The sequence below is a fragment of the Homo sapiens genome, chromosome X (assembly GCF_000001405.40).
Source record: "Homo sapiens chromosome X, GRCh38.p14 Primary Assembly".
NCBI classification, from domain to species: domain Eukaryota; kingdom Metazoa; phylum Chordata; class Mammalia; order Primates; family Hominidae; genus Homo; species Homo sapiens.
In genome coordinates, this window is record NC_000023.11 from 16463579 (window position 1) to 16482561 (window position 18983).

The 18983-nt window shown below is 40.3% G+C and overlaps 1 pseudogene, besides 1 other annotated feature; it reads right to left on the minus strand.

Moving 5' to 3' along the window:
- Window positions 696-1347: an enhancer, noted in NCBI's record as "OCT4-NANOG hESC enhancer chrX:16482397-16483048 (GRCh37/hg19 assembly coordinates)". NCBI's record gives its function as "activates a minimal SCP1, AML or CMV promoter by ChIP-STARR-seq in naive H9 embryonic stem cells {active_cell/tissue: H9 hESC(naive)}" and the evidence as "EXISTENCE:reporter gene assay evidence [ECO:0000049][PMID:30033119]".
- LOC100132857 (heat shock protein 90 alpha family class B member 1 pseudogene) lies at window positions 10567-11768 on the minus strand (annotated as a pseudogene).

Sequence of the window (18983 nt, forward strand, 5' to 3'; positions counted from 1 at the left end):
TAGCCTCCAGATCCAACTGCTTATGCCCAAAATAACATGTCTATAACATTACTTATCGCAGCAGGGCTTTAAACAGCAAAAGAATGAGAATAACCTAAGTATTCATCAAAAGGGGACTGGTTGAATAAGCCATGGCACATCATGCAAAGAAAAACGATGGGCTGGGCGTGGTGGCTCACATCTATAATCCCAACATTTGGGGAGGCCAAGGCAGGCAGATTGTTTGAGCCCAAGAATTCAAGACCAGCCTGGGTAACGTAGGGAGACCCTGTCTCTCCAAAAAATATAGAAATTAGCCAGGCATGGTGACTTGCGCCTATAGTCTCAGCTACTTGGGGGCGCTGAGGCGGAAGGATCACTTGAGCCCACGAGGTGAAGGATGCAGTGAGCCATGTTTGCACCACTGCACTCCAGCCTGAGTGACAAGGCAAGACCCTGAAAAAAAAAGGAAGGAAGGAAAAGAAAAAACAATGAAAACTGTGCAGCTATAAAAAGAGAATGAGGGAGATGTCCACCTAATGCTACACAGAGAATTCCAGGAAATAATGGTAGGTGGAAAAAACAAGGTGAACAGCATTGTATATCATATACTCTTGTGTGTAAGAAGGGGGGAAATTACAAACCGTATTCATACTTGCATGTATTTGGCAAGATTCTTTCTAAAACCTGATGAAAGGAGTTACATAGGAGGCAAGAAGGAACCAAGAAGAAGCAAACGAGGAGAAAGCTTATCAGTCTGTATTTTTAAAACATTTTTTTAGTTTTTGAACTATGTCAACGTGTTATTACCAATTTGAATTTTTAAAATCTCCCCCCTCCCCCCCAAAAAAACACCAGTCTGCCACTTGCTAGGTACATGGTCCTAGCCAAGTCATTAACTTCCAATCTTAGGTTCCTGAATATGTAAATTGTCGGCAGTGATATGTATCTTGCAGAGTTGTTGTGAGTGTCGAATGTCACATTGTCAGTGAAAATGCTCTGCAATGGTGGGTTCTTTATTGAACTCCCAAAGCCTGCACCCATAGTTTTGTTAATCGAAAGTAATTATCAGGACAATGAAGTACATGGAGGCTCACAACATAATTGTTTTCTTTCAGTGCATGTATTTTAGAGGATGCACATATGCCTCTCTAAATCGAGCTCCTTCATTAGCAAATGATCAATTAAAGCAGTGTCTTTCTGTATTTAAAAAAAAGTACATTTCCAAAACATGTACCCCACATTCCCATGATCCTCTCCATTAACTTTATACTTAATCTTTTCAATGTGATCTATTAGAAATTTGATGTTCTAAACCCTAATAAATTACTGGCATTTTGATATAATAATTATTATTACTAATGAGGATTCAAATATACAAAATGTTTATTTAAAAAAAAATTATATTTTCTTATATTCCAAATAGAAAACTATTATTACAGGAAGGTACACACCATGCTTGTGTCCTCATAGAACTGTTCAACTGTTAGAAAAGAACAGATACATTTGTCAGGTAGAGGAACAAAAGAATTGGAAGACATGAATCAGAGATGAAGTGTATTTGACCATTTCAGTCCGCTCTCTACTCAAGAAGAGAAGGCAGAGAAGGAAAGGGCAGGATAGGATGAACACTTAGCTACATATCACGAACTAAAAAATAACAAATATGATAGGTTCTCCATCTTCTTTCCTGTTAACTCCCAGTGGACTTAGTTGTGAATTTGGCAGTGTCACATCTGACTCATGACATAAGAAAGTTGCTCATTGACTTAAGAAAACTGCCCTGTGAATTTCTATGCCCTATGAATATCAATCTGAAAAGTACATTAAAATAAATATGTCTACAGTCTTATTTGAACACTAAATATAATTGGTATTGAGCACATGCTTCAATGACTGTTGTCTGTTAAAAACGGCAACCTTGGAATAAGTTTTCATGGTAGTTTTTTTTTTTTTAATGTCCACAAAACCTTTGATAGTCCACAAAACCTTTGATATGCCTCCCTTCAAGAGGTAAAGCCTAACTCTCGTCTTTAGCCTGGGCTGGACTTGGTGACTCACCTCTAACAAATAGAATGTGGCTGAAGTGACTGTGGGTGGTGAGTTTGGGGATTAGGTCATAAAAAGGTACTGTGGCTTCCATCTTGGTCACGTCACCTCTAGCCCTCTCTTGGATCACTTGCTCTGGGGGAAGCCCTCTGCCATATTGTGAGCTGGCCTATGGAGGGGAACACATTGTAAGGAGCTGAGGGAGACCTCCAGCCAATGGTCATGAGGATCTAACACCTCCTGACAAGAGCCATGTGAATGCACCATCTTGGAAGCAAATTCTCCAGCCCCAGCCAAGTTTCCAGATGACTACAACCCCAGCCAACAGGTTGGCTGCAACCTCATGAGAGACCTGGAGCCAGAACCATCAGCCAAACCACTCTCAGATTCCCGACCCTCAGAAACTATAAAATTAATAAATTTTTGTTGTTGTAAGCCACAAATTTGGAGGTAATTTATTTCACAGCAAAAGATAACTAATGCAGATTCTCAAAATGTAATTCTGAGTAAATGATTGCAAACTGCAATTACATCTCATTTCTCCACAAAAAAAAAAAAATGTCTAAAACAGCCTTGAAAAAAATTCAAGATTGTGGTATCTGGTGAAACCAGAATTAACATTTCCAGCCAGGCGAAGTGGCTCACACCTGTAATCCCAGTACTTTGGGAGGCCAAGGCAGAAGGATTGCTTGAGTCCAGGAGTTCAAGACCAGCCTGGGCAACATAGGGAGACCCCCTCCGCCCCCCACCGCCCCATCTCTACAAAAAAATTTAAAAACTAGCTGGGCATGGTGGTGTGTGCCTGTAGTCCTATCTACTCAGGAGACAGGCAGAAGGATAGCTTGAGCTCGAAACGTCGAGGCTGCAGTGAGCAGTGATTGCTCCGCTGCACTCCAGCCTGGGTGACAGAGTAAGACCCTGTCTCAGAAAAAAAAAAAAGAAAAAAAACCCCTCCAAATTCCATCATATCACAACTATATTCCTTGCATTTATCCTCTCATTTATTCATTCAACAAACATTATCAAGCACTTACTCAGTGCCAGACAGTGTTCTCGACCCTGGGATACAGCAGCGAGTGAGACAAACCAAAATCTCTGCCCTCCTGAGGCTTACATACTAGTGAAAAAGAAATAAACAACAATACACAGCATACTAGGTAGTGATAAGAGCTAAGGAGCTCAAAGAATGCAATGAGTCAGGTCAATCAAACTTCATTTGCGGCTCTCAAAATAGCTCAGGGCAGTTTCCCTCCTTGTAGTGATTCAGAGACAGGCTCCTTCCATCTCATGGCTCCACCTTCCCAGGGACTGGGAGTCCTCTAAAGATTGTCAGTAGATGAGGAAAGTGAGGGAGAAGGTACACTTGCTTCTCAGTCACCTCCAACCAAGAGTGATACACAACCCTTCCACTCACAGGCCATGGCAATAAAATGTTATGTAGCCCCATTGCTTTGTAAAGCAATCTGGGGAACGTAGCCCCAACTATAGTGCTATGCTAGAAAGAACAGCAGAATCTTTGGTAGGCAGCCGTTTTTCTCTGCTACAGTCTCATTGATCTATTCCATCCCTGACTGTTCTACCTGCTGGCCCAGGCTTTGGCCCAGGCACAGTCATGCCAAGGGGAACAAATATCTCCCATCCGGATATCTGTAATCTCATTGTAAAAATTTCAATCCTTTTTGTGAGTCATTTCCTTGGTTTTTTTTTTAAATCACCTGTAGGGGCGACATATGGAGTTCTCAATCCTCAGAGAAGTTTATTAGATTTAATTTTTCATTCCTTGAGATAAGAAATCACCAGCTTACCTGGTAACTCAATGAGCTTTAATTGGGGACTGCAAGGGAGGTGGAGCGGGTATGTGCTGATGATAGCCACTCACAGCTTTGCTAAGGGTGAGTGTTTGGGGTCTCCATCACAAACTTTACTCCAGGCATCATCCTATCTACTTATCCACAGCCACTCTCCCAAGTCAAAGAAACACTTTGCAAATGCATATTCACTGCACATGGTCCTTCTCCAAGAGAAAAGAATGGCCCCCAGTTAATCGTACAGGCAGCTAAATGTCAGGAGCAATCACTGAGATGAGAGTGGCTCATCAAAGCAAGTCAGGAAAGAGGAGTCTTATTTAAAAGCTAAATGGGGTTCTGAAAGACAGACCCTGAGAAGAGCGATTTCTGGGCTGATTTCACTTTAATGCAAAGATCCACTCTCTGCTCTAACTCTCTATGATTATTTTATACAAATTGCATTACATCAATTCCTTGGGAAATACAGATGTAAGCTGCATTTCCATTTCCTAGAATTGAAAATGACTTCGGAGGGGCTCAATTGGAATTTTTTTAATCTTCTTTAAACATTCATATGTTCTGGAGGCAATAGATGCGAATACAGAGACACATTGCCTTGGTTGACAGTTTCAAAGTCTGTAACATCAGCCTGTAACCTTCTATGCTAAAGAAATCTGTTCGCCCAAGGAAGTTTAACAACTTCCCCTTGGAAAGGTAAATCATCAGCATATTTCTATAAAAGTGAATTAATTTGATACCACAAGGAAAAAATGCCACCCTGGGTTTTTAATTAGTTATCACATCTGTTCCGATTCTGAATTTAAAACTGAATGTTTAGTGTCAGTACACAATGTCACGGTCACTTTAACTCAGGAGAGTTAAAAATTTGCTATCTCTATGACGTTAGAACTGAGCACTGCAAGAACCGTACTCTCATCCCAATCCTGCTCTTTAAAGCCACAGACAGAAACATCTTTGAATGAGTGTATTCATTTTCTAGGTCTGCTATAACAAAGTACCGCAAATTTGGTGGATTTAAGCAACAGAAATTTTTTCTCTCCCAGTTCTGCACGTCAGAAGTCCAAAATCAAGGTGTTGTCAGAGCCATACTCCCTCCCAAGTCTGTAGGGAGGATCCTTCCTTGCCTCTTCCAGTTTCTGGTCACCCTAGGCATTCCTTGGCTTGTGTCAGTATCACTCCAATCTCTGCCCTATCTCCACGTGGTCATTTCTTCACCGTGTGTCTTCTGTCTTCACATGGTGTTTTTCTCTTCTTATAAAGACATCAGTCGCATTGAATTAGGGCTCACCCTAATGACCCATTTTACCTTGATTACATCTGCAAAGACTCTATTTCCAAAAAAAGGTCATAGTCACAGGTACTAGGGATTAGGACTTCAACCTATCTTTTGGGGGGACCCAGTTCAACCCATAATAGAAGGTATCCCAGATAAGGGGTTCAAAACATTATTGCAAAGATCATAAAACCTGCAAAGCTACTACAACAGCTTTGCAAAGTAACATTTGCAGAGCCTGGAGCAAGCATATGAATGCAGTCTCACATACCGTAGTCTAAAGATATAGAATTTACAAATCAAGCTACACCAACAGCTTGGCATACCTTCCCACCCAGCACCCCACACCCCTGGGGACCATCATTCCCTTGGATAGGCTAAAGAAACCTAAGTTTACCCCAAGGTCAGCTGTGTCTGTGAGTCTAAATACCAGAATGGGTCTTGTGGGACAGGGCATGGTGGAAGCTGGACCCAAGTCAAGGATGCCTAGGCAGTGTCAGGGTGACTGGATCCGCCCCTAGACCGACCAAGTCAAGCTCCCCAAGGAGCTGGGAAGGACACTTTCACAGCTCAAGATTTCCAGGCAGTTCTAAGCATTTTCCAAAACACCACCACCCAAGCAGAGGGGGAGGAGGGAACAGTTATTTGGGGCACCCCATCTGCCTAATCACCCACGTTGGGTGATTTAGAACAGCCAACTTAATGTGTTTTTTTCTTAATTTTAATTTTCATTTTTTTTTAGAGATGGAGTCTCACTCTGTCACCCAGGCTGGAGTCCAATGGCTGATCATAACTCACTGCAGCCTCAAACTCCTGGGCTCAAGAGAGTAGCTGGATCTACAGGTGTACCACACTGTGCCAGACTAGAATGGCCATCTTCAAATGAAAGCAGCCAATCTTCCTCTGGTTTCCTGGAGTGGAAGCTGTCTCCCCACCCTCCACCATGCACGCACGCGTGCACACACACGCGCACACACACACACACACACACACTTACAGGTTCTCAGCCCAGAATCCTCTGACCTGGGAGGCCTAGGAGAGTACATCTCTCTCCCGTAATTCCCAGTAACTTAATCAGTTATCGCACTTATAAAAACGTCTTTAAAAACATTAAAAATTCATCAAACTTTAAAACATTTCAAATTTTATGAGTTCAAAAACATTCCAAAAGTCATTGTCTTTCATTGCTTGTGGTGTATGGGGTCTTATAAGGTGTGGGGCCCAGGGCAGGGGCCCCTGGTGTCCTGGTCTGGGAGGGCAGCACTGCTACCTAGTTGTGATGCAGCTGTTCAAAAGAACTCTGGTTCCTTTGCAAGCCCCAGAGGGACATACAATTCCCTCAGTGCCCCAACCTTCGGCAAAAGTCAGCCCCAAATCATCTCACCACTAGGGGCCAGAATTTGTTACTGAGGCAAGTCTGATCCCACCAACTGAACTGCTGGGGGCAGATCGTGCCGGGTTCTTTAGACTCCCTGCAAGCAAGCCACCTGTTCCGCTTGGTTCCTGGGCAGGGCAACCTAGGTTGAAACGCTTTAGTGAAACCCTGAAGAAGCTGTGTGAGGTTCTGAGGTCCTGCTATAAGAAAGAGTCCCAGGCTTGGAGTGAAAAGAGATCAGATCCTACTCCTCCTCCTTTCCTCAAGTAGCCATATGAACTTGGGTGTGGCATTTATATTCTCTAAGCCTCGACTTTCCCCTGTAAAATGGAAATAATAAATCATAATATCTCTCCAGCATATGTCATAGAGGGTTGCTTCTGCTCTTGCACCATACACTGGGTTTGTTGGGTCATGACATCTTGTAGCTGTCATTAAGGAGCTATAATTTCCACTAAGGAGTTAGAGTCCTAGAATGGTTTACCCTCCAGGCCTAATAAATTCAAGCTTAGATGATGATGATGATGATAACAATATAATATAATCAATTAATATTTTATGTAAATACCAAAATAATACTGATAAAACAAGGGCAGGTTCTTTTTTTTTTTTTTTTTTTTTGAGACGGAGTCTCGCTCTGTCACCCAGGCTGGAGTACAGTGGCACAAACACAGCTCACTGCACCCTCGACCTCCCGGGATCAAGTGATCCTCCTGCCTCAGCCTCCAGTGTAGCTGAGACTACAAGCATGCACCACCATGCCTGGGTAATTTTTTTTTTTTTTTTTTTTTTTAGAGATGGGGTCTTAAAACTATGTTGCCGAGGCTGGCCTTGAACTCCTGGCCTCAGGTGATCCTCCCCCTACCCTGGCCTCCCAAAGTGCTGGGATTACAGGTGTGAGCCACCATGCCCAGCCCAAGGGCAGGTTCTGTTTGATGAAGGGGGTAATCATTTATGTGATATAATATAAAGGGAGAGGTGCTAGGAAAATCCCCAATATAAACATAATACCTCTTCTGTGCTGTTGTCTACAGTTCAATTATCAGAGTATTTTTTTCCTTTGGTTGAGTCGTGCCCACTTCTCATGTCCCACTTGAAAAGCCATAAACTTACTAACATGTCAGTACAAATGTGCTTATCACACAGTGCACTTTCCAGAGAGGTGACAAGCCCAAAAGACCCCCGTGCCCAGGAAGGGGTGGGGAGTTATGGGAGAAGAAATTAGTTAGGGAGCAGAAAGCAGGATCGGGGGCTGGTTAAAAGACAGATCAAAGGAAAACTGAAAGACCCCTCAAAGGTAGTTTCTACCAACCTCATACTTCACAGCCTCACAACCTGGCCCAGTCTCAGGACAAATGGAGATATATATATATATGCACTTATACAATTATATACGTAAATTATGCGTGTGGGTGTACTTTTTTCCCAGCACACTGATGTTAAGGGAGAAATGAAAAATACCATGTAAGTAGATAACACCTAAAAAGTAAGCATCACGAGTGAGCTATATAGACAGGATTTCCAGGAAGCTAATCATATCTCACAAAGAAATTGAGATGCCCTCTTTATCTTTATCTGAAAAGAAAGTCTTTCCAGCTATAATAAACTTATAATTTAGAAGAGCTCAAAAAGTCTTCCAGCTTTGTTAGTGAAAAGCAACCTGTCTTTAAGTGCCCCAGGTCATGTCTTCTTTTCTCATCTCAAATTATTCTGGGACAATCAGAAAGAAAGTGATCTACATCTGTTTACCTTGCTGAAAAAAGAAAAATGTCAGAGCTGCCTGCCAGGAGTTTTTTACAGTGTAGTTCCTCTTAGACACAGGAAATGGGGAGAAAGTCGCTGTCATTTAACAGATATTAATTTTGACCAGCCATGAATGAAACTTCTGCTGCTCCTGAAAAATATGTGTAGCTTGCCATGCCCTCAGACATGTGATTGGAATCAATTCTCCACCTGTCCATGACTTTTGCCATGTGGTTTTGCCGCGGAAAAATCACTAAAGCATCTCACTAAAGCAGCAGTCTATCTTTGCCCCTCCAGTCTGAGCCCCACCTGTAAAGGGCCTGGGAGTAATAGTTGAGGCTTTGCAAGCAAGACTGTCTCTTTTGCAACTACTTGTAGCACAAAAGTGGCTACAGAAAATATGTGTATAAATGGACATGAATGTATTCCAATGAAACTTTATTTACAAGAGCAGATGGCCAGCCAGATTTGGCCCACAGCCATAGTTTGCCTACTTCTAGCCTAGACACACTATTACCATAGCAATAATAGCTAATGATCATATTGACAAGAACTTACTTATGTCATTGTGATGTAGTGTTCCCTTCACCCAGAAGGCTCTGCCCACCTGTGCTTGTTGTCAATATCCTTTTTCTTTATGTCTTACACTCCTCTTCCAAGAAGCCTGAGACTGCTTACTTAGAAGAGTGTTCTAATCACCTATTTACTCATCCTTCTCCTTCATCACACTAAAAGTGTCTAAAAGCAAGGTTATGTCTTAATCACTTTTATATACCCAGAGCCTTGCGGAGAACCTAGACCATAGAAGATGCTCAGTAAGTGAATGTGAAGTGAATAATTCAAGGAAATACAATCACTTCAAGAGAATGAGAGGACAAGCCACAAACTAGGAGAAAATGTTTGCAAAAGACAGATCTGATAAAGAACTATAATCCAAAATACACAAAGAACTCTTAAAACCCCGCAATATGGAAAATGAACAATCCAGTTTAAAAAATGGGCAAAAGATCTGAACAGACATCTCACCAAAGAAGATATGAAGATGGCAAATAAACATATGAAAACATGCTCCATATCATCTGTCATCAAGAAAATGCAAATTAAAACAACAATGAAATAGCACTACATACCTATTAGAATGGTGAAAATCCAAAACACTGATAACACCAAATGCTGGCAAGAATGTGGAGCAACAAGAGCTCTCATTCATTACTAGTGGGACTACAATATGGTACAGCCACCTTGGAAGACAGTTCAGCAGTTTCTTGCAAAACTAAACATACTCTTACCATACAATCCAGCAATCATGCTCTTTGGTATTTACCCAAACAAGTAGAAAATTTATGTCTTCACAAAAACCTACATACAGATGTTTATAGCAGCCTTCTTCATAATTGCCAAAATTTGGAAGCAACCAAGATGTCCTTCAGTACCTGGATAAATGGTGGTACATCCAGACAATGAAATATCTTTCAATGCTAAAAAGAAATGAGCTATCAAGCTATGAAAAGACAGGAAAGAACCTTAAATACATATTACTAAGTGAAAGAAGCCAATCTGAAAAGTCTACATACTGTATGGTTCTAACTATATGACATTTTGGAAAAGGTGAAACTATGGAGATGGTAAAAAGGTCAGTTTTCTCCAGGGGTTGGGAAGAGGGAGGGATGAATAGGCAAAGCACAGAGGATGTATAGGAATGTGAAAGTATTCTGTATGATACTGTAATGGTGGATCCATATCATTATACATTTGTCCAAACCCATAGAATGTGCACCACTAAGAGTGAACCCTGATGCAAACTGCACTTTGGATGATAACGACATGTCAACGTAGGTTCATCAATTGTAACAAATGAACCACTGTGGTGTGGGATGTTGGTAATGGAGGAGGCCAGATGTGGTACAGGGGAAGGGGACATATGAAATTCTATGCTTTCTGCTTAATTTTGCTGTAAAATGAAAATTGCTCTAAAAATAGTCTATTTTTAAAAATGCACATGCAATTACATATCATTGTTGCAAGTCTTTACTCAGCCTCTTCTATGGCCCTTATTCTCAGGAGACACTGAAAGCTAATTACTTGATTAGACAATGGCTCCTTAGATCTGACAAGGTCGAAGCACAACCAAAAGCACAAGTGACAAAAGAAAAAATAGATAAATTGGACTTCACCAAAATTAAAAATGCTTGTGCTGCAAATGTTACTATCAAGAAAATCAAAACACAGAACAGGCAAGTGTTTTTTTTTTTCCCACATAAAAACGGCATCTGCTTTATTTGGTATACTTTCATTTCAGAACAAAATAAACAAAAAAGCACAATACACAACATCCAATATCCTGTTATAAAAGTAGAAAGAGAATGGGGCTTAAGGCTCTTGTTTCCTGCCTTAGACACACGGACAGGACAGAAAAAACACTAGACATCAGCAGAGGGAGCCAGGTGGGATAAGGCCACTCAAGGCCGCGGGACAGAGCCACTCAAGGAACCATGGGGACACTATACAAGGGCACAAGGTTTCCAAATATAAACTCCTAGTCTACTTCTTCCATGTAAGACCCATTCTCCTCACCCTCAAGCAGGGGTATCTCATCAGAAACAACAGCACTGGGTTCCTCTGTTGTCACTTCATCTTCATCAATACCTATACCTAGCTTGATCATGTGGTAGATGCAGGTGGAGGGTCTGGGGATCCTCAAGGGAGAAGCCAGAAGAAAACAGAGCAGTTTCAAACAGCAGCACCACCAGGTCCTTGACAGCTTTGCTGTTCTTGTCTGTCTCAGCCTTCTGCTGCAGCATCTCCACAATGGGGTGGTCGGGTTGATCTCCACGCGCTTTTTGGCCACCATGTAGCCCATTAGAGAGTTGTCTCCAAGTGTCTGAGCTTTCTTGATTCACTCCATATTGGCTGTCCAGCCATAGGGTGCTGATCACAATGCAGCAGGGTGAAGACACAAGCCTATTGGAGGCTGTCACCTTCTCAACCTTCTTATCTAAGATTTCTTTCATAAGCTTGCAGAGGTTCTCAAACTTTGCCTTGCTCTCCTCCATTTTCTTCTTCTCCTCTCATCCTCAGGTAGCTCGACCTGAGGTAATAGAGACCAGGCTTTTCTTATCAAACTCCTTGACCAGCTGCACGCAGTACTCATCAGTGAGCTTGGTCTAATATAACACCTCGAAGCCCCGCTTTGAGAGGTGTCTACCTGCTCTTTGCTCTCACCAGTGATGTAATAGATGGACTTCTGTGCCTCCTTCATGTGAGAGAGATACTCTGACAGAGATGTCATCTCATCTTCAGACTGGGAGGTGTGATAGCACAGCAGCTCAGACAGACGTCCCTGGTTGGTGGAGTCCTCATGGATCCCAAGGTTTAGATTTTTAGAGAATGCCTCATAGAATTTCTTGTAATTCTCCTTCACTTCTGCCAGCTCAGAGAAGGGCTCAAGCCACTTCTTAACAACGTTTTCATGAATGACTTTCAAGATTTCGCTCTGCTGGAGCACTTCTCAGGAGATGTTCAGGGGCAGATCCTCAGGGTCCAATAGTTCAAATAATTAAACAGGAAAAGAGATTGACAGCAAAACTAACTATTAAAAGGAATGCATTCAATTCGCAATTGCAGATATGGAACCAACCTAAGTGCCCATCAACCAACAAGTGGATAAAGAAAATGTGGTATATATACACCATGGAATACTACTCAGCCATAAAAAGGAATAAAATAATGTCTTTTGCAGCAACTTGGATGGAGTGGAGGCCATTATCCTAAGTGGAATAACTCAGAAATGGAAAACCAAATATCGTATGTTCTCACTTATAAGTGGGTGCTAAGCTATGAGGATGCAAAGGCATAAGAATGATATAATGGACTTTGGGGACTGTGGAGGGGGAAGTTAGGAGGGGGTGAGAGATAAAAGACTACATATTGGGTACCGTGTACACTGCTTGGGTGATGGGGAGAGCAAAAGTCTCAGAAATCACCACTAAAGAATGTATCCATGTAACCAAAACCACCTGTACCCCCAAAACTATTGAAATAAAAATAAAAATTAAAAGAGTGCATTAAGTAGATATTTTTAGGAAAAAACATATAATCTCTTATCCCCACCAATGTTATACAGTCTTAGTAGCAAGTAGAATATATATAATTGTAATTGTTGCAAAATTGCTTTGTGTACTCTAAAAGTAAACAAAATAAGCTTTGAGAATTGTATTTAGTTTTTTGTTATCTAAAAAACACCTCAAAAACATTGCAGCTATGAAAACGGTGGAGAATTTCCAGGCCAATTTCTGCATGAAAGCCTGACCCTGTAGGGCTAAGGGGAAAAGCAAAGCCTCAAAACTTCTGGAGTCCTTTGTACCCTCATCAATAATGCAAACACTTGCCCTCAATTCCATAGCCTCCCTGGGCCGGAAGAACTGACGCTGAAGTCCAAAGCACACAGAAAAGGGGGTGTCCTGGGGTAAGGGCGGGGCCGGATCTAGACCTGCCTGCCCCACTTCTCACCGAACCCCCATCGCCACCACCAAGCCTCTTGGAACTGCTCTGATCTGAGCCAGAGCATCAGGAACGTCAAATGTCAAATCAAGCTTGGAGCAGCTAACTTTGAGGGATAGTTATCTACTTTAAATTTTGGATGTTTTAAAAATATTTGAAACAAAAGTCATCTCTGTAATCCCTTTTCAGCCATTTTTTAATCTTCTTTTGGACTAAGGTGTTTAAATCAATAATTTAAAGAAACTTGTATATATATATATATATATATATATATAAAATATAAAAAATATTAGAAATGACAATCAAAAAGTTCAACTTTAATTAACCACTTCATTGGTTGTGAGTTTCACTTCCTAGCAGTCATCCACTAATTAATATTTGTTAATCTCCATAGCAGAGTGAACAGACCCAAAAGTCACAAAAAAAGTCCTTTGACTTAAAAAGGAGAAGAATTTATTTCCTTTAAAAGAAAGAGCAAAGACAAATACCGTATGATCTTACTTATGTGTGGAATCTAATAAAGTTGAACTCATGGAAGCAGAGAATAGAATGGTGGTTACCAGGGGCTGTGGGCGGGGCAGATGTTGGTCAAAGAGTACAAAGTTTGTTAAACAGAAGGAATAAGTTAAGAGGTCTATTGTGCAACATGGAGACTGTAGTTAATAACAATATATTATATACTTGAAAATTGCTAAGATTTTGTGTTCTTACCACAAATAAATATTTAAGGTAATGCATATGTTAATTAGCTCAATTTAGCCATTCCACACAATGTAGACATAATTCCAAACCTCATGCCATACACCATAAACATATACACAATTATTTGTTAATTTAAATAAATAAATAAGGAGTGGCAATTTGATTAATCAAAAATGGGGGAGGGGGGATTTATACTAGATCCAGTCAACCAATAGCCAGGCTTTGTTTCCAGCTAATTAAATAGTAGAAAAGAATATGGTTTCCACCCATTCGACAAGAGTATGATAAGCTAAGGAGTAATGACAAAATGCAATTAATTTCACTATCTTTTCAATCATTTCAAGTGTTTGGTTCTATTCTATATGATTCTTTATTCAAGTTTGGTTCTATTCTATATGATTTTTTTTTCTTTTTAATTTTACTCCCAACATTTTTAACCTTATTATTAGGAACGTCATAGTTCCTAAAACATTGTTTTCTGGCTGAAGTATGAATTTTGCAAGTATAGTTTGTCGATATTAACTAGAAAAGAAAACGTGATCCTACATAATCACATGGGACAGTAACAAAAGAATATGGAAAGATGCTTTTAGGAAAAATTGCCAAAGACTTGGCAATGGGCAAAAGATTACTGAGTGTCCTTTCAGTGAAGTGCTTGCATATTATCCAAATGACCATCCCAGGATTGTCTGGCTCTATCCAGGTATGTACCTTTGACTGATTGTCTTCCTATTATTTAGGCTATTTTGTAACTCTGTAAGGGTAGAAGTTAAGCTATAGAAAACTGTTAGTAAAGCAAATAATTATTATCCATTGAAATGCAAATACACTGTATCTAGAAATATAATGAATTTCTGCCCTGTAGAAAGAATAATCTCGAACATTACATTTCATTGCCATACAAGACAGCAACATCCAACAAAATATATGTACAATGCAAGCCACAGATGTAATTTTACATTTTCTAGTAGCACACTGAAAAGGATAGAAAGAGGTGAAATTCATTTTAATAATACATTTTATGTAATTCAATTATGTTCAAAATATTATCATTTCAACAAGTAGTCAACATAAAAAATACTGAGATAGTTTACATTCTTTTTTTGTATACTATGCCTTTGAAATGCCTAATGTACTTTATGTTTACAGCACATCTCAATTTATGCTAGCCACAATTCACATGCTCAACAGTCATGTGGTTAGTGGCTACCATTTTGAACACTGCAGCTATAGTTTTTGTCTGCACAGGTCTGGATAATTCAACTATTACATCTCCCCATGCAACTATTTGTTAAAACACTTTTGGTGTCAACCCTAGATATTTCTTCAGCTCCTACTATGTTCCTGGCTGTTTGCTACTTATTAGGATGGGTATAAAAACTATAATAAATGTCCCCTGACCTCAAAAAGTAAGATGAGGTAAGACATATAAATCATTAAACAAAAAATTAGAAGCAAGACTACATGTAAATGAATTCTCAAATTTAGTGGACAATAGAGAAGTGAAAAATCAATATGATAGGCACATTCAAGGAGGAGACTTTGGAGGGAAGAGAGGAGCCAGGGATATTCCAGACTTAATAAACAGAATGAGGAAGGAAAGGGATGAGTTAATGGTTAGAGAAAACAAGGAGTTACTGGCCTGCTTTTATTTATTTATTTATTTATTTAGCCTGATTATGTCAAACATTCCATTTCTTTGTTTCAGATCATAGTTTTCATAATATATGGTTGCTCTTAGGTGGATAAATTAAAATAGCTTTAGATTGAATATAGATCTTATCCATTATATGTTGTATGATCTCAACTATGTTCTAAAAAATGCATTTTAAAAAACAGGAAGAAAACACCCAAAATGGTGCAGACAACTGGATTGATTATGGTGGGGTAGAGGATGATCCTGCTTCTTTGAAGTTTGCTATACCTTTTATTATCTTTTTTCAATAATCACATAATATTTTATAATTAGAAAAAATATATACTATTTATATTATGTAAAGAAGTTTTATTCATTTGATGGTTCCAGAAATTCTGAAATGATGTTGGACAAATAGATATATCTGACCACCCCAGTATGATCTCCTGATGTCTAAATACCAGAACAATAGTCCAAGATCTTTTATATCACATATTCCAGAACCACAGGCTATTGTACTGATAAACTGGAGTAAGATTTTATCTATTTTCCATCAATTTTGTCTGGCAACGTGAGAAGAGTCAAGTCTTGCTGAAGTTAATAAGTGGCCATCTGGGGCTTATTTTACTTTTGGAAAAGCAGATTGCTGAAGGTGACTGCCTCGTGTTAAGAAAGGTTCATGGCTAATGGTTTTGACAAGTAAAGCTGTTCAACTGCCTAAGGTGATTCATTTGATCACTCATCCCCTGTTAGTCACGCAGCTGATGGGAATTTTAAACACAACTTTCATCTTTGGCCTTTGCCTTCATGATTTCAGCTCATAGAGCAAACTATTGTCATATCTTCCAGTTAACTTGACTAAGCAGCCCTAGAAGAATAACTGGATACTTTACTTTCACTTTGCCCACCCTACCTCTAGCACAATCATTAGGCATACCTTATCCTTATTTGCTTTTGATATTTACTAATTACTATTAACCATTGCCCTTTGTCTACTTCATTCTGACTTTTTCCACCTACTCAGCTATTTCTCATCTTTCCCACACCCGCTCCTGATTTAGCCCAGTAGTTTCAAGTTAACTTCTTGAAATAAGCCTGGCACATTTTCAAAATGCTAGAACATTTAGTGGATTTATAATAAGATGGCTCTGTAAGTGTCAATTCGTCAAGTTTGCAATTTTTTGTTGATCAACCATGGTATTGATGGATTTATGAAGCTATAGGGAATTTTTTTAAGCAGGTATGGACCTAAAGAAGTCCTGAATAGCTTGCTTGTATTCATGGAGTTAGATGGGTGGGTTGGGGGGAGACCATGAACTATAGAAAAGAGTATGCAAATGGATATGAGTAAGGATGTCCACCACAGTGTTCTTTATGCTAACAAAAACTCTAGAAACAACCTGAATATCCAAAGGGGAATAGTGGAGGAAAATTATTGTATCTCTAAACATTGAAATATCAGGCAGCTATCTGCAAACTCATTGTGATATTATTTGAGCAAAGTGTTACTAAGAATAGACTCTTAACATTACTTGCTCTTACATATATGATCTCACTCACTTGCCTGTGAGTCTTTGATGATCCTCTGTCTTCTGGATGAGGTATCTTTGCTCTCCTCCTGCTTACCCCAGCCAATCTCCATGATTTGCATTTTCAAGTTTGTGGAGATAAATCACGTGTTGGTTGTGGTAGCCACATGGTCAATTCGCACATTTCCTTCATTAAGAAATTCAAACTGTTGTGCTAGGAGGGCGGAGGGGATTTCGGAAGACTCTTTGAGGAAAAAAATTGTTTGTACCACTGGAAACCTCTGTCCAAAGCATTGATGTCATTAGATTAACTCAGCTATATAAGAAGCTATTGACAGATTTCCATATAAATAATCTGTTTATTTCCCTGCATTCACAGCCTCCTTTCCCCATCGCTGGCCCCATTTAACTGCCATTCCAGAAACAAGATCCAATCAATGTGGCTGGAGCATTTATGGAAGGTTCCATAAAATAAGAAAGACCTGAGTGGGGCCTTGAGGAATGGCAAAACCTTTTGTAGGCAGGGCATATGGAGAACAGTCTATCACACTGGTGTTAAACGGCAGGGCTGAAAACGAGTGTGAGGTGCCCTGAAGTCAGAGTCTGATCCAGCCACAGTAATAGGTTCGGCTGGAAGGTGAGTGGGAGGTATGGTCTGGGGAGCCACATTAAGATCCTTGAATGTTTAATACAAGAGTTGACGTGTCATTCAGTACTTGATGGGAAGCCCCTGGCACAATCCTTCTCAATCAGCATCACACATGCAACTTATCCAAACTACGTGCGGCCTCCCCTGCTGCAGCTAAGAACCACTGCTATAAGAAAACAGTAGTCAGATAGAACCAGGTCAAGAAAGAGGCAGAGAAAAGCCCTTGACTGGAATTAAACAGCAGCAAAGTGATGATAACCTTGGTAAGAAGCCAACCCTCTCACCCCTGAGCTTTGTATTCAGCTTTCTGTTCTCTCATTTTGATTACTTCTGCGCCTTCCTCCAGGATACTCTTTCCTTCATTCTCTAGCTGAACAATTCAGGGAAAACCTTTTTCTTTGTGTTTCCATGGCAGAGTGGAAGCAGACTGACATTTTCCCAAATTGCATTATAAACTGCCAAGAGGGGGGGAAAAAAAGCAAGAAGATAAGAATAGCACAAAAAAGTCAACGTTCCCAAGTGAAGATTTGGAGTCCAAAATTCCCTAAGTAGGTAATGTCATTAAAGCAGTGGGCCTGAGAAGTGCTGCTGTTAAAGAAGCACCATCCAAACAGGAACCCCAATCCCTACATAAAGGGATCCAATGATATAGAGCGCACAACTCTTACTAAAATCCTCTTTCCTCTCCCATTTTCAGGCATCCCAAAATTCCCAGAAATGTTTCACTATCCTATCTGAGAAGTTACTCTCTCACCATGCTACTCTTAACTCTCTCTTCCACAAATCATCCCATATGTCACTTCCCAAAATATCACAAAGTCTGTGCTACAAACCACTACACTTCTCTCTCCCTCTCCTTCCCACTTCCCCTCCCTCTCTCTCTCCTTCATTAACCTGGGCCTTTCCTGAACACCCTGTCACAGGCAGGAAAAAACCAAAGGCTGTGAATGTCTAAATGCCATATTTTCATCTGACAGCCATTCTTCCTAATTCTTCACCTGCCTGTAAGCTATGTGATCACTAAACCCTGCCTGTTCTTCAGCACACAGAAAAAAATGGCAATGTTCACAAACCCAACCTTATTATTTTTCAAACCTCCTGTATTTGCTTGGGAGCTATTGCTCAGCTCCAGATTCCTGATGAAGGCAGATACCTACTTCATATCTGAAGCAGGGCAGTGGTCACTAGTACCCCTTGAGCACCAGTGAATGGTACAGCCAGGCCCAGATCAAGTCGCCAAAACCACCTGCTCTGCTACTCCTAAAATAACTCAAAAAAGACTTCTCTTCCTCTACCCTCAGCCCCCCAACACTTGCATACGTGTAACTGGAAAAGGTGTACTTGTAGAATTTCACAATATAACAATTCCTTAACTTTATTACAAGACTAAGATAGATTCGGGGTTGGGGGTGTGGGGGGAGGGGGACTGGTAAGCATAAGAGAAAGGAAAAGAAAAGAGAAACTTAGATAACTAGTGTCAAAGCTCTGTTTTGAGAAGGCCTTAAAAATGTTTATGGACTTCCCTTCCAGTAGACTTTTTCGGCAAAACATATTAGAAAGTTATGGGAACTACAATGCCATCAGGAACTCTTAGTATTCACCTGGAAGTGAGAACCAAGCACAGTATCCTACTCAGTGTCCCGCCGAAAGAAAACCGTAGTACTTGCAGCCAAGTTGAAAATGGAAATCAACTCTTGTGGTAGATCATTTCCAAAGGTGGCCACCAACAATCCTTCTATC